Source organism: Homo sapiens, chromosome 1 (genome assembly GCF_000001405.40).
Source record: "Homo sapiens chromosome 1, GRCh38.p14 Primary Assembly".
Taxonomy (NCBI): domain Eukaryota; kingdom Metazoa; phylum Chordata; class Mammalia; order Primates; family Hominidae; genus Homo; species Homo sapiens.
In genome coordinates this window covers 69475998-69498954 of record NC_000001.11, presented here as the reverse complement: position 1 = coordinate 69498954, position 22957 = coordinate 69475998, and the positions used below count along the sequence as shown (strand labels likewise).

General features: G+C 35.1%; 1 long non-coding RNA gene across 4 annotated transcripts in view; it reads right to left on the bottom strand.

Annotated features, from left to right (window-relative positions):
* The window catches only part of LOC105378789 (uncharacterized), a 112950-nt gene that overhangs the window by 66896 nt on the left and 23097 nt on the right, over positions 1-22957 (bottom strand). For all 4 annotated transcript variants that reach the window (XR_001738106.2, XR_947488.3, XR_007066166.1 and 1 more), the window contains exons 2-3: positions 5741-5849; positions 1510-1586 (exon numbers count right to left, since the gene is read on the bottom strand). This is a non-coding gene — a long non-coding RNA (uncharacterized LOC105378789). The remainder of the gene's footprint in view (positions 1-1509; positions 1587-5740; positions 5850-22957) is intronic.

The window sequence follows — 22957 nt, the reverse complement described above, 5'->3', positions numbered from 1 at the left end:
CACTGAGTCCTGTCCAGATGGCAGGGCTCTACACTCTGTTTTGTTTACAGAATTTTACAGAATTTGTTTACAACAGAATTTGTACATAATTTGTTACATGTGTTTACAAAATTGTGAACAGAATGATTGTTCCTTTAAGCCACAATGTGTTGGAGTTATTTGTTATCTGGAAATTGATAACTGGAACATATGGTGATCAAGTAATATATATTCCTACTATCAGAGAGTTTACTGTATAGAGGCAGAAAAATAAATTTACAAAAGTATTATAATGGAGTGATAAGTTGTGCTATTGAAGCACAGAAAAGAAACACCTAACCTAGATACATGGGTAGGAATTCTGAGAAGGCTTCCCCGAGCAAAAACTATCTAAGTCTTTCAAGGGAACAAACTATTATTCTGATATTTAGGATATAATATGTCCATATAAATTAGTATTATTTACTTCTTTATTTCTCTCTGTCCTTGGAAATCCAAGTTCACAGCTTTCTATAATTATTGTTAAGTACTAAAATCTATGTTTACACAAATGCAATTCTGTAACATTAATCATTATTGTTGTCCTACAAGAAATAAAGCCAATATTTAATAGGAATAAATGCATTTAACGTATCTAATTAAGATTTGCTTTCTATCTTAGATTAACCATCATCATAGCTGGGGAGAGGACAGTCCATCCCGCTATCATCAAAACAGAAACGTTTCATGTTGATTACAGATCTAGATTCAGCATATTTGTTTTTGGAACCTTTATTAAACTCTTAAGGTTTCTACAGATTCTTGTCTCCCTCCCTTTCTCCCACAGCCCTCACTGGGCCATTCCATTCTCCCTGGTTGATAATGATAAGCGCAAGGAAAACAATCTAACAGCAAGCTTCTACAATTACTTGAATCCCAAAGCAGCTCACACAGGTCACCAAGAAAAGGAACTTAAAACATTTCTCAGATAAAGAGTTCTTCAAGATAGTAAGGCCAATAACCGGAATTTGTGAGACTGTAGATAAGGACTACATACTTATTATCTACATTACTTTTAGCAAAGTCCTAGGGAAAAGCAAGCATGCCGTTCACAGAAGATTTTTCAAGCACAAGTTCAAATTCATCGTTTTCTATATAATTAAAGTTCTCTAACCATGACCTTAGTTATTGTTGATGTCAGAAATACCTGGATCTACCCTAGATGAGGTGCTAATTAGATAATATGTAGCAGGTTATATCTTTTTTTCTATATCTGCATGTAGATTACATTAAATATAGAGAAGTATACTTTTTTTTTAGGGCAATCAGGGGGGTGCATATGAAGTTCATCCTTAACCACTACCTCAACTATATTTGGGGAAACATCTGCTGTGTTCTTTACTCACTTTATTTTTGTGGTTGAGAACACATTAACTTTGTGCAGTTTTCCTCTTTTTTTTTTTTTTTTTTGCCTATTTCTTTTAACATCTTGGTGAAGTATGCACTTCCTTCTAAATTCCAAAACTAAATCATCTTACTTCATCTAATTACCTTTGATGCTTTTCCTTCCTCCTATTAACAGAATCTCCTTCTCATCAATGTTGTTTGTTAGTATATCTCTTTGGCTGCTGTAGCAAAGACAAAGTAACATTGAGTTAAATAACATGGAGATTTCATGCAAGAATACAAGGGTAAATAATCCAGATCTTAAATGAAAGGTCCGTAATATTAGAGACTGCCGTCACCATGGTCTGGCTACCATATTGTAGTTTAAGATGATTGTTACTGTAATGGCTATATCCTACTCAACAGGAAAGGTATAAGGGAGGATAGAAAGTATGCTCCCTATCTTTAAAGACCTCACCTAGAAGTTGCACAGAGCACTTCCAATTCACAGCTAGAAGCTACTCACGTGACCTCACCTAGCTGCATGGGAAACTAAGAGAAACATGCTTTTGCTGGAATATGTGACCTACTAAAACTCATCCAATTCTGTGAAGATAAAATATAGGATTACTATATCCTATTTCTTTGCTATATCCTATACTATTTCTGTGATTTCTGGGGAGGCTTTTGTATACAGTAGATGCTGAACAAATATAGCTATGTAGAGTATATGTTGAAGGTTATGATAACATAAAATATTATAATTGTTTTTTCTTCTGAGACAGAGACTCCTGAAAATCTTTTATGACTCTTCTGATATCAAGAAACAGAAAACCACCTGGGCATCTCATGAATCTTAGAAAGAAGTAGAACTAGAAATTTCAAGTGTAAAATTAGGCTCCTCTGCATCTCTCAGGTGCTATAAAATCTCTCTGTACTCTTATTCTCCTGAATTGGCTGCATTTATCTACAACATTAACTCCATCCACCCTCTGGCTTGATTGATTTATGCATATATTTGGGCAATGGCCACCAGTGTAAACTTTTATTGTGACCTCCCAGCTGTAGCACATTTTACTAACAGAATCTTTTATATATCAAAGTCCTGGAGTTGGAATAATAATAAACCAGCTTCTCTTTTCTAACAATTCCACAAATCACTGGCCAACCTATATGAGTTTTCTCCAGAGTCAGGCATTTGCCCTTGGCTTAATCAGCATTTGCCAGGTGCAATTTTGTTTGTTTGTCTCACTTAGAAAAAAATTAAAAAGCAAAGTTTAAGAGGGATGTTTGTCAAAGGGCAGTTATTCTATCAAAATGAGAGAGAAGCCAGGCGGTAAAAAATGTCAGTAGTCCACTCTGCAAGTCACTTGCCAACAACAGCATCATCATCACCATCGTTTTCATCAATCATGATTCATCCTTATAATATCTGTCATTAACTTTACACTTTGTGGAAAGAACTCTATGAGATAAACACTGAAGCACATTAATGCAAATAACAAATGATTTAATTTAAGACCATTGAAAAGCTGAATGACTATAGTTTCAAGTGCCTGTAAAAGGACTAAATAATATCACACGGGGCAGGAGAGGGCTCTTTTAAGCCTAAAACACTGCAAAGAAGAAAAGAGAAACAAAAAATGTTAAAAGAGAAAAATAAGAAGAGAAAAGAAAGGGATGAACTAGAAAGAAGAAAGGAATACATAATAAAAGGAGCATACGTTTGTGTTGAGAGCTGCATGCAGGCATAAATAAAAATGAATTTCGAACACTTTCAAAAATCAGCTTGAGCACCACTTAGTGATATCAAAGACACAAATTCCAGACTGAAAGACTTCCATGAAATTGTTTATGCAAGGAATTTTTATAATAAGTAATATCAAAGTTTCAATAGTTGTGGTTTATACTATCTCAAGAAGCAAGGACAAATACAGGTTATTCATAGACTACTTCTGTTCATATATTCCATACATATTTATTGAATGCCTAGTATGTGTCAAACACTATTGGCCCTGAAGTTGGGCTGAGTCTCAGTCAGCAGTTTTTTCAGCAAACTGGCCTTACAGGTGAGCCAAATATTAGTAAATGATCTAGGTGCTTTGAATGTAAAGTTATCCAGAGGTAAAGGACTCTCTTCTGGGAATAGTGGTCTCTCATACTCTCTTTCTGTAATTGTTGAGCACAGACATAATTCTTTGGCAAATTTTGAGCTTATTTATTGACCCACTGAGAAAAATGTCAGAGATTTTGGTGCCTGAAGCATTGGTATTAACAGGAGCTATGAAAAGTTCATTTATTTCATAATTGTAGGCAATCAATATAATATTCTACATTTAGGGGGTCTTCTCTGAAAACGTGTTTATGATTTTTGGACAAAAGACTAAATTTTTTAAAAAATAAAGTGGGTTATATAGATACTGTGATGGTTAATTTTATGTGTCAACATGGCTGGGCCATGATGCCAGATATGTGATCAAACATTGTTCTGGAGGTTTCCGTGAGGGAGTTTTTGGATGAAAGTAACATTTAAATTGGTGACTTTTGAATAAAGCAGATTGCCCTCCACAAATGTGAATGGGCCTCAACCAAGCAGTGGAAGACCTGAAGAGAACAAAAGATTGACTTCTGTCAAGAAAGAGAGAATCATGCCACACACCCTTCAGACTTGAGGTGCAACACTGGGTCCTGGTTTCTTAGCCTGACAGCTTTTGGACCTAAACTGAGTAGCAGTGCTTCCTGGGTGCCAATCCTCCAGCCTGCCAGTCTGCCCTGCATGTCTTCCAGTCTGCCGGTCTGCCTTGCAGATTTCGGACTTGCCGGCTTCTATAATTGTGTGAGCCAATCCTTTAAAATAAATATTTTTTGGATATATATACATATCCCATTAGTTATGTTTCTCTGGGGAACCTTGACTCATACAGATACAAATACATTTCCTACAAATAGTTTTACCTCATTCACAGACATTTTAAGTTTGAAACACATTTCAAGGCATTGTTTCTGAGGCATTGTTTTCAGTTTGTCTAAGAAATTTTATTTCTTCATTTCTGAGGCATTGTTTTCAGTTTGTCTAAGAAATTTGTTTCTAACACCATCTCTAAAAGCAGGTATTTTGTTTTTCCCCTTGAATATCACACAAAAACTTGTATAAAGCAAATGATGACTCATATTTCTCCTAAGGGAAAATTCTGAAGTGCTTTTATGTACCCTTTTCAAAGGAGACAGTCTTGGCAAAATTCCTTTGAAACTGAACTGATATGGGATAGAGACAGATCAACATGTTGGATCTAGTACTTAAACCTGTTTGGCTGATCTTTGTCTTTTGCTGTGAGAGTTAAGTAAAATGAGGTTATATTTATAGATTCATGACTCATCTGCAGAGATCTATATATTTTCATTTTTTCTTTGCTTTTAGGCTGTTGTTAATTTCTTTAAGAAATAGTTTCCCCCTATATCCATCATTAATTTTTAGATTTATTTATTTGTGTCTCTCTTGTATCCTTGGTCCATACTGTTTATGGAGTACTTGGTTAATAGAACGGTTTGAAAAAGCACATTTAGCTCTCAGTTCAACTGAGTGAGAAGAATGACACTGAAATCCTTTCATCATTTTGCGGTGTCCCTGGTAAATATTCTCACTATTTGCTGTTTCTGCCAGTTATCATTCATGCTGTTGTTCACTCCATCACCTGAGTTGGAAGTATCACTGCTGTTCCTCGAGCTTTGAATGATGACCTGAGGTAACCAAAGTCTCCTGTGAATCTGGTTCTCCAAATTCTAACTTGGGTGTGGCTCCTTTATGTTTACTGTCTTGTAAAGATGATTTTGCTACTTTGATTTTGTAAAGTTATCCAGAGTCCTTTACCTCTGGATAACTTTACATTCAAAGCACCTAGATCATTTACTAATATTTGACACACCTGTAAGGCCAGTTTGCTGAAAAAACTGCTGACTGAGACTCAGCCCAACTTCAAGGCCAATAGTGTTTGACACATACTAGACATTCAATAAATATATATGGAATGTATGAACAGAAGTAGTCTATGAATAACCTGTATTTGTCCTTGCTTCTTGAGATAGTATAAACCACAACTATTGAAACTTCGATATTATTATAAAAATTCCTTGCATAAAAAATTTCATGAAAATTTGATATGTTGAAGTACATCATCATATTTTCCACCATACTCTCTGATTTTAGGTCCCCAGATACCTCTAGCATTACTTACCCTAGATACCTGGGGGAAAGTCCAATTAAGCTGAAACAAAGTACATTTGTGTGACACTGCTCAGTGTCCCATCAATAAATGTCCTTTGACACCAAGCCAACAAACTCTCAAGATGCGCTCACGTGTGCTCAATCCCTCTGACATTTGGATAAATGTCTACTTACCCACTTTGAGAATGACCTTTTATTTCCCACTTTGATAGGGAGTTTTAAGCCTGCTGTTCCGTAGCCCACATCTTTACTATTTGCAATGTCCCTTTGGGCTGCTAGATTCCTGTAGAGATGGAAAATTCCTTTTAAGCAGCTGTATCCTACACTCCCTTAACCCAGCTACAGGTGTTGGTTGCATAAGATCTTTGTTAAGTTCAAACCACCAAGGTCTCTCAGGACCTCTCAAACTCTCAAAACATTCCCTCCATTAAGGGAAATTTTGTTAACCCTCAATTCCTTGCTTCCTATCACTCCACATTAATATTACAGTTTGGTAAGATTTTGCTTATGTAGTAGCATCTCTATACTTGCATGTTAGTTCATATTTTCTTCTCCTTTGATATGGTTGGTTGTCATAAGGAATGTTTAACAAACAGTAAACTGAGGCACAAAGAAGCTAGTAACTAGCCCATGCATAATATTGAGTACATGGAGTACATGGGAGGTTGTTTCCCCCAACTTTATCATGCTGGCTATGTGCATGGTCCCATAGGTCCTATGTATATGTGGAGCAGAAAGGTAGGAGTTGAGAGTTCACACAATGGCAAAAAGCATTATGGCTGTGTATAGCAGTTTTGTGGTTTATATCGTTATGTGTGTGTGCGTGCAGCTTATCTCTAATCAGACAATAAAGTGGTTGTTTATAACCAAGGAATCTAAAGAATGTTCTTCAATATTGTCAATTTTGGTGAACATGGTAGGTCATTCACTAAGAATGTAGCCTGCTATTTTAATGAGAAAATATAGAGTGTTGATTAATGGTTTAAAAAAGCACATTCTTGTTGCTTGTCCCTTTTTGGGAGTCAAATTATAATAGGCATTTATCGTTAAGTGAAATAAGTAAACCATGGAATGAGTTGAATCCTAATCCATTAACAAATTATTCACTTTCTCCAGGTAAAGACAGAGATCTAAACAAATTCAGTATCACGAGATCAATGTGTCCCAAATTTTTTTAAAAATCATGGGTATTACTTACTGAATATTATTTTCACTCCTAAGGAATATCTTTGGGACTATGACATAATATTAAATAATTTGTGATTTTTTTAAATTAATAAACATTAATTTTAAAGTTTTGGGGTCTCAGCAAAATTTAGCATAAAGTACAGAGAGTTTCCATGTACTCCCTGGCCCCTGACATAATCTCTCCCACTATTGACAACCCACACTACAGTGATGTATTAGCTACAATCAATATACCTATATTGACACACCATTATCACCCGAAGTCCATTGTTTATATTAAGTTTCACTTTTGGAGTTGCATATTCAATAGGTGTTGACAAATGCATAGTGATGTGGATCTGCCATTCACAGAATAGTTTCATTGCCCTAAAAATCTTCTGTGCTCTACTTATTTATCTTTCTCCCCCTCCTAACCCTCTTGGTGTAACTCATTTTTCACTGTCTCCATAGTTTGGGTTTTTCCAGAATGTCATATGACTGAAAGAGAAAGTATGTAATTTTTTTCAGATTGGCCTCTTTAACTTAGTAATACAATTAAGTTTCCTCCCTTTCTTTTCATGGCTTGCTAGTTCATTTATTTTGTGGCTAAATAATATTGCATCATCTGGATATACCACCGTTTATCCATTAACCTACTGGAGGAAATCTCGTTTGCTTCCAAATTTTGGCAATTATAAATAAAGCTGCTATAAACATCCATGTACAGGTGTTTGTGTGGACATAACCTTTCAATTCATTTAGGTAAGTATTAAGGAGCATGATTGCTGGACCATATGAGAAAAGCATGCTTAGTTTTTTAAGATATGGTCAAATTGTCTTCCAAAGTGGCTGTACCATTTTGCATTCCCACCAGAAATAAATGTGAGTTCCTATTGTTCCTTGCCAAATTCCTTGGCAGCATTTGATATTGCCTGTGTTTTGTATTTACGTCATTTTATTTTATTTTATTTTTATGTATTTTTTATTTTTTGAGACGGAGTCTCGCTCTGTCACCAGGCTACAGTGCAGTGGCACAATCTCAGCTCACTGCAACCTCCACCTCCTGGGTTCAAGTGATTCCCCTGCTTCAGCCTCCGAAGTAGCTGGGACTACAGGCACGCCACCACCCCCAGCTAATTTTTGTATTTTTAGTAGAGATGGGGTTTCACCATGTTGGCCAGGATGGTCTCGATCTCTTGACCTCATGATCCACCCACCTCGGCCTCTCAAATTTAGGTCATTTTAATAGGCAAGTAGTGGTAGCTCATTGTTATTTTTAATTTGCAACTTGTAAATGATATATGATGTTGAACATTTTTTCATATGCATACTTTCCATCTGTATATCTACTTTCGTGAGGTGTCTGTTCAAGTCTTTTACTCATTTTTTTAAAAACAAGTTGTTGGTTTGTCTGTTGAGTTCTTAAGCACTTTTTGTGTATTTTGGATAACAGTCTTTTATTAGATATGTCTTTGGAAATATTTTCTCCCATTCTGTGGCTTGTCTTCTAATCTTTCGATGTTGTCTTTCACAGTGTAGAAGTTTTAGTTTTAAGAAAATCCATTTTATCAATTGGTTATTTCATGGAATGGCCTTTTATGTTATACCTAAAATATCATCACCATACCTAAGGTCATCTAGATTTATTCTTGCATTATCCTTCTAAAAGTTTTATTGTTTTATAATTTACCTTTAGGTCTATGATCTATTGTTAAGTTAATGTTTACAAAGGATGAAAGATCTGTGTTGAGGCCCTTTTTGTGTGTGCCTGTGGATGTCTCTTTGTTCTAATACCATGTGTTGAAATGGTCCCTTTGTTGAGTAAGTATCTTTGCTCCATTGTATTGCCATTGTCTTTGCTCCTTTGCCAAAGATCAGTTGACTACATTTATGTGAGTCTATTCCTGGGCTCTCTATTCTGTTCCATAGATCTATTTGTCTGTTCTTTCACCAATACCATACAGTCTTGGCTAGTATTGTTTTATAGTAAAATCTTGAAGTTAGGTAGTGTCAATCCTGTGACTTCTTCTCTTTCGGTATTATTTGATTATTCTGGGTAGTTGGCTTTCCTAAATAAAATTTTAGAATCAATTTGCTGATATCCTCAAAATAATTTGCTCAGATTTTGCTTGAAATTGCCACTCCTGCCTTTTCTTTGATTAGTGTTAACATGGTATATCTTTCTCCATCAATTTTATTCATATATTTTTATATATTACATGAAGTAAGTTTTTTGTAAACAATATGTATTTGGATCTTGCCTTGATCTACTTTGACCATCTCTGTCTTTTAATTGGTGTATTTAGACCTTTGACCCTTAAAGTGGTTGTTAATATAGGTGAATTGATATCTACCATATTTGTTACTGTTTTCTACTTGTTGCCCTTATTTTCGGTTCCTATTTTGTCTTCCATGCTTTTTCTGCCTCTGGGGTTTTCACTGATTCCATTTTCTTTCTTTTCTTAGCATATCAATTATATATTTCTTTTTTAAATTTTTAGTGGTTGCTCTAGGGTTTACAATATACATTTACAATTAATCCAACTCCACCCTCAAACAACACTGTGTCACTTCATGAATAGTGCAAGTATCTTATCAAAACAAAGTATTACTAATTCCTTCTTCTATCTCTCATATTATTGCTGTCATTCATTTCACTTATATATAAGTGTATACATAAGTGTATATATGTATATGTATATATGTAAGACATATATAAATATTTAAATATGTATAAATTACATATACATATATAAAATATATAATCAAATACGTTGCTACTATTATTATTTTAAACACTGTCATGTGTTAGGTCAATTAAGAATAAAAAATGGAAAATATTTTACTTTCATTTATTCCTTCTTTGATGTTCTTCCTTTTTAAATGTAAATCTGAGTTTCTGACCTCTACTATTTTCCTTCTTTCTGAAGAAATTTTTTTTAACATTTTTTGCAATGCAGGCAACAATGCCCTTGGCTTTTGTTTGCCTGAGAAAGTTTTATTTTTCCTTCACTTTTGAAAGGTAATTTTGCAGGGTAACAGAGTTCTATACTTTTTGTTTTGTTTTCTCTCAACACTTCAAATATTTCACTCTATTAATTTCTTGCTTGTATTTAATTCTTGTATTTGCTCCTCTATAGGTAAGGTGTGGTTTTCCTCTGGCTCTTTTCAAGAGTTTGTCTTTGTCTTTGATTCTCTGAAATTTAAATATAATATTTATTTTTTGGTGCAGTTTTTTTAAAACATATCTTCTGCTTGGTCTTCTCGGAGCTCCCTGAATTTGTGGTTTGGTGTTTGACATTAATTTGGGGGAAAGTCTCAGGCATTCTTGCTTCAAATAGTGCTTCAGTTCCTTTCTGTCTTTCTTGTCCTTTGGCATTCGCATTACACATTAGCATTACCTTTTGTAGTTGTCCCACAGTTCTTGAATATTCTGTTCTTTTTTCTAGTTTTTTTTTTTTTTTTCTCTTCACTTTTCAGTTTCAGGAGTTTCTATTGTAATACACTCAAGCTCAAAGATTCTTTCCTCAGATGTGTCCAGTCTACTAGTAAGTCCAGCAAAGGCATTTTTCATTTCTGTTAGTGTTTTTGATCTCTAGCATTTTTTTAGATTCTTTCTTATAATTTTCGCCTCTGTTTACACTGCCAATTTGTTCTTGCATGTTGTCTGCTTTTTTCCATTAAATTCTTTAACATATTCATCACAGATTTTTAAAAATTTCTGATGCGACAATTCTAACATTCTTGCTGTATCTGACTCTGGTTCTGATTCATGTTCCATCTCTTCCCTTTTTAGTATGCCTGTAATTTTTTGTTGGAAGTTGTGCATGATGTTCTGGTAAAAGGAATTGTGATGAATGAGACTTTGATAATAGTGTTAAGGTGTGAAGGAAAGGGATGCATACTGTGGTCCTATGATTAGGTTTCAGTCTTTTGGTGAGCCTGTGCTCATGAACTATGAACTTCTCAAGTGCTTCTCAGTGTTTCTCCCCTCTTAGGTAGGACAGGATGGCTAGAGGGCCTAGAACTGGCTATTTTCTTCTCCCACCTGGAAGCCTAGCGGGAACTTGAGTTGGGCATTTTCTTTTCCCTAGGTAGGTCAGACTCTGATAAAAACCCCAGCAGATTAGGTTCTGGTAAAATAGCTTCTCCTGAGAGCAGGCCTTGTGAAGAATAGACTGTTCTGGTGTATTTTAAGATGGCTCCTTTTTGTGAAGGACCTCTTCAAGGAGAACTACAAACCACTGCTCAACAAAATAAAAGAGGATAAAAACAAATGGAAGAACATTCCATGCTTATGGATAGGAAGAATCAATATCGTGAAAATGGCCATAGTGCCCAAGGTAATTTATAGATTCAATGCCATCACCATCAAACTACCAAAGACTTTCTTCACAGAATTAGAAAAAACTACTTTAAATTTCATATGGAACCAAAAAAGAGCCCGTATTGCCAAGTCAATCCTAAGCCAAAAGAACAAAGCTGGAGGCATCATGCTACCTGACTTCAAACTATACTACAAGGCTACAGTAACCAAAACAGCATGGTACTGGTAACAAAACAGAGATACAGAACAATGGAACAGAACAGAGCCTTCAGAAATAATACCACACATCTACAACTATCTGATCTTTGACAAACCTGACAAAAACAAGAAATGGGGAAAGGATTCCCTATTTAATAAATGGTGCTGGGAAAACTGGCTAGCCATATGTAGAAAGCTGAAACTGGATCCCTTCCTTACACCTTATACTAAAATTAATTCAAGATGGATTAAAGACTTAAACGTTAGACCTAAAACCATAAAAATCCTAGAAGGAACCTAGGCATTACCATTCAGGACATAGGCATGGGCAAGGACTTCATGTCTAAAACACCAAAAGCAATGGCAACAAAAGCCACAATTGACAAATGGGATCTAATTAAACTAAAGAGCTTCTGCACAGCAAAAGAAACTAACATCAGAGTGAACAGACAACCTACGAAACGGGAGAAAATTTTTGCAATCTACTCATCTGACAAAGGGCTAATATCCAGAATATACAAAGAACTTAAACAAATTTGAAAGAAAAAATCAAACAACCCCATCAAAAAGTGGGCAAAGGATATGAACAGACAATTCTCAAAGGAAGACATTTATGCAGCCAAAAGACACATGAAAAAATGCTCATCATCACTGGCCATCAGAGAAATGCAAATCAAAACCACAATGAGATACCATCTCACACCAGTTAGAATGGCGATCATTAAAAAGTCAGGAAACAACAGGTGCTGGAGAGGATGTGGAGAAATAGGAACACTTTTACACTGTTGGTGGGACTGTAAACTAGTTCAACCATTGTGGAAGACAGTGTGGCGATTCCTCAGGGATCTGGAACTAGAAATACCATTTGAACCAGCCATCCCATTACTGAGTATATACCCAAAGGATTACAAATCGTGTTGCTATAAAGACACATGCACACGTATGTTTATTGCAGTACTACTCACAATAGCAAAGACTTGGAACCAACCCAAAAGTCCAGCAATGATAGACTGGATTAAGAAAATGTGGCACATATATACCATGGAATACTATGCAGCCATAAAAAATGATGAGTTCATGTCCTTTGTAGGGACATGGATAAAGCTGGAAACCATCATTCTCAGCAAACTATCGCAAGAACAAAAAACTAAACACTGCATGTTCTCACTCATAGGTGTGAATTGAACAATGAGAACACTTGGACACAGGAAGGGGAACATCACACACCAGGGCCTGTTGTGGGGTGGTGGGAGGAGGGAGGGATAGCATTAGGAGATATATCTAATGTAAATGACCAGTTAATGGGTGCAGCACACCAGCATGGCACATGTATACATATATAACAAACCTGTATGTTGTGCACATGTACCCTAGAACTTAAAGTATAATAAATAAATAAATATATATATATATATATATATATATATATATATATATATATATATAAAACAACAACAAAAAAACCCAAAAAACAATAAAATGGCTCCTTTTCTCCTCTCCCTGACAGAAGCAGGGAGGGGATTTTTTTTTCCCTGACATTCATTGTGAGGACCTGGTAGGTCTCCTGGAGGGAAAACTCACTAAAGCATGAAGGCTGTCCTATGATTACGTCTACCTGAGATTTTTAACTCTCATACTTGTCCATATCAAGCCTCCAGCAAGTGGTCAATTATAGTTTAGTTTTCCTACTTCTTCAGTAGTTCATGTGGAGGTTCCTACCGTGGGTTTCTGCTCCAGTGAAGTGTGATTCTCTGTATCTGCCTGTCTGTCTCTCTAATTTTGGGAGTAGCAGTGTTTGAATTGAGTGACCTGAAATCCCTGATAGATGTAAGAAGAGTTGTTGATTTCTCAGTTTGTTTAGCTTTTCACTTGTTAGGGTAGAGTGGTGACTTCTAAGCTCTTTATATGCCTGACTGGAAACCAGGAATTTGTGGTTTGTGATTTTTCCTAAATAGTAAATTATTTTTCCCCATCTAGAGAAAATTTATTTTCTTTCTAGTTTGAAGAAAATAAGGCCATTATTCATAATGTAATGGGACCATTAGCATAATATTTCAAACTTCATTGATTCTTTTTCAACTACCAAAATCATGCTGTTTGTTGATTTGATTCAAGAAAAGGCCAGAACATGTGTCCATAGGATTGTATATCACTCTTGCTAATAAAAAATAGAGACCAAGGTTAGATTGTTTCCTGATGAGCATAAGCAAAGCAATGTACCTAGTTTTACCTGTACGTGATAGACATCTGTATAGGCTGATGAATTCTTTTTATATTTAAAGCACCCTTGAGACAATCTTTGGTCAATCAAAGTCACTTTCCAGGCCCTGGGAAAATGTCAGGAAAATAATAACATGTATTTCTGGGTACTTACCAGGTCCTTGTAACAAAATTTGCCTTTGGTAGATGACTTAGTAGGTTTTCAATAAGTAATTATGGATTTAAAAGAATAGAAAAGTTCAGAAAATAGTTTAGCACGAACATTAGAATCATCCATGAAGCTTTTAAAACTACAGATACTGGGCTCTACCCATTAAGTTTTCTGATTATGTAGACCTGAAGTAATACTTAGATTTATGGATTTTAAGAAATTTGAGCAAATAATACTGAAGCATATGAACTGGGCCAACTTGATAGGGTAAAATATACACGTCACCTATTTGGCAGCTCCTCATGAACTATTTCCTGTCTTACTCAGTATTGATGTAGACTAGATGAAGATGGAACCACAAATGAGATATCTCATTGATATTGTGACACCACAGCATAAGTAGGGGCTATGAAGTCATTTTTACATTGATTTGAATTCTGGGTTGCCTATATAATTGAGCCAGCTTCCTCCTTCATAAAGAGGAGATACAACTACCCATGGAGTTCACATAATGATTAAATAATCATGTAATAAAACTGACCCAATAGCTGGTGAAGAGTTGGTGTTGAGTAAATAGCTCTCTCAAATTACTCCCCATCTGTGCCTATGCGACACTTGCAATACAACATGTGATCGAATATGCTGAGAATGGTGGAGCCCACCACACAGATATGCCAATTCTACTGATCAAATCAATAGCAACAGACTTGCTGAGGTTTCCAAAGAGAAACTGGTTAGATTTTTTTAATTAAAATGGCTGGTTACCCGATTATTATTGATAGATTATTACTAAGAAAAAAGGTGCTTTGTTTTTAGAATTTTTGTTTGGCAGCATTTATTATTTTACTGCACACACAAAGAATGCATGTGTGTGCAGGTGTGTGTATAAAGGTGGAATGATCTTATGCAGAGAAATGTCTTCTGACTTTTCTTTTTAATCTAAGTAGTGTATGTCCTGATACACCCTGTATTTTCTTTCATCCATGTTCTTTTATTTTCCGAACTTTATTCTATCTTGAACCAGGTTGTGATGCTTTGCTAAATTTTTCCTGTGAGAAAATGATTTTGAGGTTGTCAATCCATCAGCCATGATGACTGGGAAATATTTGAAAGAAGATACAAAGTGTACTTATCCGGAAGCTGAAAATATAAAGCAGTGTTTTCTACTTGTCACTGTAAGAATGCATGACAAATTCATTGTTATCCCAACTTCACAGTTGTCAGCTATTCTACATACAGTGGTCACACAGACACTGTGGTTGTCACTAACAGCAGAATCTATGTATTGTTACAAAACTGCCAAATATCACGGCACTACCAAAAAGGGAAATGACAATTACACCTAGTAAGACAAAATATATCAAAAGGTTCATGATGTATTCACCATGTAGTTGGACAACTTTGGCAATGAGGTTAATATGCTCTTTTGATATGCATTGGGGTATGGAGGGGTATGTTTCTTTCCATTTTCATTCTATCTTCTAGCCAGCTTTCCTATATATGTTTACAGCTGGCTGTAGAAAAGATAATATGAAAGAGCATTTATCAGTTATCAAAATGGAGAACAGGAAAAATAAATTATCCAAGGAGACTAGCTTGTACCAGGCACTGTGAAAACTGCTGAGGATATAGAGTTAGATATGTTAGAGTCTTTACTTTTAAGATGCTCACAATCTATAGAAATACAAAATGAAAGCTCTAATATAAGTGTGGCTTGTACAGAATGGAGCTGCATGTGGCATGCTGTGGTAATATAGAGACATGCAGGAGTTAGGGGATGCTTATCTGACGAGATGAGAACTGTTGGTATATAAGCCAGAAGAAGATTGGTGGCACAAGGCATTTTAGGAAGAGGAAGTAACCAGCTCAAAGCCACTGAGGCAAGAATGAGCGTGGGGCTTCAAGGAACTTGTGGTTCAATGTCAGAGTTTTGAGTCAGGGTAGTTACAGCAAAAGGTGATGCAGATAGGGCAGGCAGGATCAGGTCAGAAAGATTTTCTAAGCCACATAGAAGACCCTAAGTTTTATCCTGAAAATAATATGATACCAGTATAAAAGCAAAGAACATATTTACAGAAAAGTGTTGTAGCAGCGTGGAAAATAGGAGGAGAATAATATTAGAATTATATCCCTTTGGTTAAATGCCGTGATACTGTTACTCAGGTTTTACTCCCTTAGATGATTCTTATGAATGTTGCAAGAGGAGGATGTTAAATTACACAGGAGCAGATCACCACTATTTCTGTAACCATGGACAAATGATACATCTCTCAAAAGCAAGTGAGATTCATGTCTGCCTCCAGGGACACTTCTCATTAGATAAGGGCAGTGCTATAATGGCACTCATGCGATAGAAAACCATGCTGCGCGTGAAGACTTGTGGTGGAAAGGCATTTTCAACAGTTAGAAAACAGAATGCACCTTCCACTGTTTGATCCAGGAATGCAGTTGCAGGTGCTGCCAAAGAAGAAAAGCCTTCTGGCACTCTGTGGGTAAGGTCTCTGATTATTGCTTCTTGCTTACTTCAAAGATGGCCATCATTATCTGAAGCTCACATATCAGGATTGAACTCAGACCAAATCAAGAAATAAACTAGCCCATTAAATTTTAGAAAGTTGTATTGAATATGTTCAAAGCTTTGGGTTTCAGAAGTCCCTGAAAATGCTGAAATGTGGCATGAAGACATTTGGAAACTACTAATACGATCCCAACCCTTTTACTTCATTAATTGTCTTAATTCTTACAGAAAAGGAGAATGGACTTGTTCTAAATAGTTCCAAAAGACTTACCTAGAGAACATGAAAGGAAATTATAGGGAAGTAACTTTTGTTTTAAAATAATAAAAATATTTTTAAAACTTAAAGCTTTCCAATTTTATAAAGCAGTAAATTTTCTGTGGTTGGCAGTGTTTAGATTAGATGTATGTTTGTCTGAGTATTGGCTCCAGGCAGTGGGGAAAGTTTTTTTATATTTTTCCAATTTTTAAACAATTTTTGTTCTATTGAAGCAAAGTGAACATACCCATGTAATTGACATGTAGTTCTAGAAATAAATATTGCGCATGAAGATGTAAAAGTGAGAAAAAGAAACTATAAAACCAATAACAACTTTTCTAAAAGGTTAATGGATTTGATGAAAAGTCTGTCTTTACCCTGAGACTATTTTTTGCCTCTATTTAGGTGTTCAAATCCCCTTTTTATTGGAAAATAATATTTGTAGATTTTAGGTTTTATTGGTTGCTGTTTCTATTGTCATTAACTTAACAAAATGGATGAGTTATCGAAACAACATTTGTTTCTGTGGACATTTCCTGAAATGCATGTCTTTCTTCAACCATGAAATCCCAAAATGTAGAAAACTATTTATAGGAGATAACTGAAAGGGTATTGATTCACTGGATAGTAAGGAATGGACAAATTTAAAGTTTGTTTCCAACCTGGAAATAAAACCAAATAAATAAAATTTTATTCCAAGCTTTAAAATTTTTCTCTTTATCGTCTCTATTTAAAAGAAAATATTTTTCTACCTGTTTATCTTTCTAGGTGAGAGTAGATCTAAAGTATGTATTTATATTTATTTTTATTTAGCAAATGCATTTTCTCCTTTTTACAAATTTTAGCCTGTGTAACTCAAGAGATGCTATCTTTAATGTGAAGTAGTTTATGACTTCATATTTAAAAAAAGAACTGCAAACAAATTAAATTAGGACATTTGCAGCTATTGCTTGAATAAACTATACATCTGAATTTAACACAGCAAATATAATAGTTTGTGAGAAAATAAAGATGCATGTATTTTGTTTCTAAGTGAAAAGCCTATAAAAATTTATAGAGGATATTATGTATTTTAAAGTGACTATTATGTAAAAAATTAATATTTTCTGCTTTGCCATAATTGTAATTTGTCAGGAAATTTTACAATACAGATAGAATTATTTCAAATTGATTACTACTCCTGGAAAAGCAACTCAAAACCACACTACTGATGATAAATTAGCTGCATTATTTTTGCTTACAGAAAGATGGGCATTTACAGAATGATGGTTGAGCAGAACTGACTGTTTGCCCAATCAAAAACTCTGTCTGTCATGCTTTATCTTGCAGCCTTGAATAATGTCCTCATTTTTCAAAACTTTGTTATTACGTGCCTGCTCAAGTACAGAAATACAATTGTGTCCTCTTTGCCAGTTTGCTACAGATAAAAAGGAAAAATCTACCAATCTAAGTCTAGATAACAGATACATAACTTATGAATCTATTATTTCTCCTGATGGTAAAATAGATCAGAAAGAGGCATCCAGGAAAGGAGGATATTGGACATATAGTAAGTGCTTTAAACAGATAAGCCACAATTTTGTATCATGTGCAACTAAAGCCTCAGAAATATTTTTCAAAGACTCTGTCTAAAGTCATTGAAAAATAAAAGAAAAATGAAAGAAGAATGGTAGTAATTAATAAATGTTTATTGAACATAGCCTGTGCAAAATTCTGAGAATACAAGGAAGAATACACCAGAAACAACTGCGAAATGAACTCATGTGCTGTTACAATTATGAAAACTTCCCCCATAGCTCTACTGACATGCAGTCTTTGAAATTACTCCTGGCCTGCCCATATAACACACTTCTTAACTTTGTAAGTGATCAAAGAGAATTTAAATTGAAATGACATATATTATTTATAATTATTAAATCATCCAAAATTAAATATAAAATTGTTCGCTGCTGGAGAGCCTGTAATAAAAATGCAGCAATTATACATTTTATGTGGCGTTATAGATTGGTACAATCCTTTTGAAAGGTTATCCAAAAAAAGCCTTTAATGAGCAATACATTGTTCATATTTTTTTAAACATTAAAGGATTTCTTGCTCCTGGGAATTCATTTGGAAAAAAATAAATTCCTCAGGGGAAAAAAAAACACATTAATTACTATGCCCACTGCAAAAAATTTTAAAAATAAGATTATTGTAAATGCAATAAATAGGAAGACATTAAGAAAGTTATAGAACACCAGTTCAGTGGAATATAACATAATCATAAATATTTTGTTATAAAATAATTTGGCAAATTTCTGGAGATATTTATTGTAGGGACCTCTTCTGGCAATGGTGGGACAGTTTGTAGCAGACTAACACTTTTACTATGACTTATGAAAGTCAAGGAAAAAAAACCCACAAAAATCTGTAAGATATTAGAGAATTTCTAAGCTACCAGGATATGAGGGGCCAGATCAAACAAAGAAGGAAAATTCACTGAAGTGTTTCCAACTTTCTGCATTTTTTTTCCTCTCAATGCATTTGCCCATTTTCAGTATGGGTCAAGAGGTCAAGAGGCCAAGAGGCCAAAGAACTGGCCAGAGTAGATGCTGGCAGAGAAGCCACTCAAGTTTCAAGACAACCTCTTCAGTATGGAAAGATAAAAATTTGGTTTGCAGTTACCAAAGCAACCTGGGGTTGAACGAATAAGATCTTGGAGAGTACAAAGGTGCAAGTAAGTCACCTTGACACTGAACACATGTTTAACCACCAAAACATTTACCATTGCAGTTGTAAATGGCAAGAAGCTAAGAATTATGTAGAAAGTGACTATAAAAAAGAGGAGTTTTTAGCAGTCTTCTGATGCTGAGAAAAGAAATGGAGTTTAGGAGCCACCAAGAAGGAGAGCTCTAAAATACAACCCAGGCTGTCAATTGATAATTCTGGAGGGCTTTCCTCTAGGAAGATGGAGAAAAGAGTTTCAGCCAGACTGCAAGCCAGCTTCAAGTCAGTTCAGGCATGATTAGATCTAGGTGATTTGTTCTTTGTTACTCACCAGAGTAGAGGGTAAATCAACTCTAGAGAGGGATAACTTTATCCCAAGCCTGTGGAAAATATATTTTGACATATCAAGAATTAGGATCAAGAGAAAGGATGTATGGTAAAAACAAATCCAAACTCTTCAGAGGATTATAATAGGATTCAGCCTTGCAAACAGCATTCACAATGTCCACAGTGTAAGCAACAACAATGAACACAAAAACTCAAAGCAGAAAAATGCAATCAATTTTCAAGAGAAAAGACAAAATGGAGGATACCAAGAAGACTCACATGTTGAAATTAGCCTTCAAGGACTTTTAGTAGCTATTGTAACTATGCTCATTGATGAAAAATAAATTACTGATTTCTTATTAGAAACTATAGAACCAAAAAGATAACAAAATAACATTTTCAGAGTGCTAAAAGAAAAATAATTCAACCTAGAATTCTACATGCAATGAAAATATTATTTAATACAGACGGCAAATGAAGATATTGTTAAAAATAACTAAGATAATTTATTGCTGGCAGATGTATGCTACAAGAAATGCTAAAGAAGTACTTCAGATTGACAGGAAATGATTAGATGGAAATTTGACTCTTTAGGAGGAAATGGCAAATGGCATCAAAATTTATTAAGTATCTGGGTGATTTAAATGTCTTCTTCAATTTCCTTTGAAATACATGTATTACTTAAAGCAAAATTATGACATTTTCTTTTGTAGTTTATAATATATGTTAATATATTTGATAATTATAGCATAAACAAGGAAGGGTGATCTACATGATTACAGAATTTCTACACTTGTTTTATGAAATACTACAATATTAGCCCTAACTAGACTGTAAAACATTATTAATGTTTATTGAAATACCTTGAAAAACCACCAAAATGGCAATACTAAAAGGCACAACTAAAGTACCAATAGAAAAATTAAACCAGAATTCTAAAAAACGTATTTAAGCAATGCAAAAGGCAGGTCAGGAGAAACAGAGACCAAAAGCACAGAGTGAGATTAATGTTAATCAGTAAACAAACAATCATCATGTTTAAATTTGATCATGTAATTAATTGTTTAAACTTTAATGTAGTAAACACTCTAAAATTCTAAGATTGTTAGAATGGATTAAAAAAAAGGAAGATCCAACTATTTGTTGTCACAAGTGATGCATTTTAAATATAGACAGAGGGGCCGGGCGCGGTGGCTCACGCCTGTAATCCCAGCACTTTGGGAGGCCGAGGCGGGCGGATCACGAGGTCAGGAGATTGAGACCATCCCGGCTAAGAAATGGTGAAACCCCGTCTCTACTAAAAATACAAAAAAATTAGCCGGGCGTAGTGGCGGGCGCCTGTAGTCCCAGCTACTTGGGAGGCTGAGGCAGGAGAATGGCGTGAACCCGGGAGGCGGAGCTTGCAGTGAGCCGAGATCCCGCCACTGCACTCCAGCCTGGGCGACAGAGCGAGACTCCGTCTCAAAAAAAAAAAAAAGACAGAGGGCGGCTGAAAATAGATGGAACAAATACACAATGCAAACAACAAGCAAAAGAAGTCTAGAATCATTATATTAATATGAGATAAAATAGACTTCAAAATAAGCAGTGTTACAAGAGAGAAAAAAAGGACATTTTACAATCATAAAAATGTCAATACATTAGGATGAACTAAAAGTCATGTATCTATATATGTATATATATACATACATACAAATTGCATTTTTGGGTCTTCATTTCCTTATGAAGATCTGGTGACACATAAAACTTAAGTAAATTTGTATACTTCTTCCTGTTAATCTGTCCTATGTCAGTTTCTTTTTATTAGGCTCGGCTGAAAAACCCAGAGAGGGTAGAGGTAAAATTTTGCTTCTCCTACAATACGGATGAATCTATAGATAATATATCATGTCCATGGATTGGAAATTTCAATATTATAAAAATGTCAATTGTTTCCAAATTACTCTATATATTTACTGTAATCCCAATCAAAATTGCAGTAAGATTTTATTTTTTATGAAAATGACAAGTAATTCTAAAGTATATACATATGGAAATGCAAAGAGCAAACAATAGCCAAGACTATCCTCAGGATAACAAACCTTGATGCTTAACATTGTCACTAATCAAAGTTTAATGTATTTAATGTAAGAGCTACAGTCAAAAATAGAGTGCTGTGTTGGTGGAAGGACTGACTAACAGACAAATGAAATAGAGTCCAAAAAAAAACTGACTGACACATATGCTCATAAGATGACACTAGTACAATGGAGAAATAATGTTTTTTAAAATTAAAGGGTCCTGGGTCATTTGCATAAAAAATAGCACAGCTTGAACTCTACCTCAAATCATACACAAAAATTAACTCCCAATACACTATTTATATGAATGCAAAGAATAAACGTGAAGTTTCTAGATGATAGCATGGGAAAATATCTTTATGACTTTGAGATAAAGCAAAGACTTTTTAAACAGAATGCAAAAAGAATGTAACAACATATTGGAGGTCCTTTATATGTTATTTGCTTCTTGTCCTTTGCTGTGTTTAGGATTCTTTCTTTACCCTTGACCTTTGGGAATTTGATAATTAAATGTGTTGAAGTAGTCTTATTTGGGTTAAACCTGCTTGGTGTTCTATCACCTTCTTGTAAATGAGTGTTGATATCTTTCTCTAGATTTCGGAAGCTCTCTGATATTATCTCTTTGAATAAACTTTCTACCCTGATCTCTCTATCTCTTCTTTAAGGCCACTCTTAGATTTGCCCCTTTGATGCTATTTCCTGTATCTTGTAGACATGCTTCTTTTTTTTTTTATTCTTTTTTCTTTTGTCTCTTCTGCCTGTGTATTTTCTAATATCCTGTCTTCTGGTACTCATTATTTCTTCTTGATCCATTCTGCTGTTGAGAGACTGATTCATTCTTCAGTTTGTCAACTGAATTTTTTGGCTACAGAATTTCTGCTTGGTTCTTTTAAATTATTTCTTTTTCTTTCTCAAATTTACCTGATAGAATTATGAATTCCTTCTCTGTGTTATCTCGGATTTTCTTGAGCTTCCTCAAAACAACTATTTTGAATTATCTGTCTGAAAGGTTACATATCTCTTACTGTGGAATTGGTTTCTGGTATCTTATTTAGTTCGTTTGGTTAGGTCATGTTTTCCTGAATGGCCCTGATGCTTGTGGATGTTTGTTAATGTTGAGGCAATTAAGAGTTAGGTATTTAGCCGGGCGCGGTGGCTCACGCCTGTAATCCCAACACTTTGGGAGACGGAGAGGGGCGGATCACGAGGTCAGGAGATCTAGAACATCCTGGCTAACACGGTGAAACCCCGTCTCTACTGAAAATACACAAAATTAGCCGTGCTTGGTGGCGGGCGCCTGTAGTCCCAGCTACTCGGGAGGCTGAGGCAAGAGAATGGCGCGAACCCGGGAGGTGGAGCTTGCAGTGAGCCGAGATCGCGCCACTGCACTCCAGCCTGGGTGACAGAGCGAGACTCCGTCTCAAAAAAAAAAAAAAAAAAAAAAAAAAAAAAGAGCTAGGT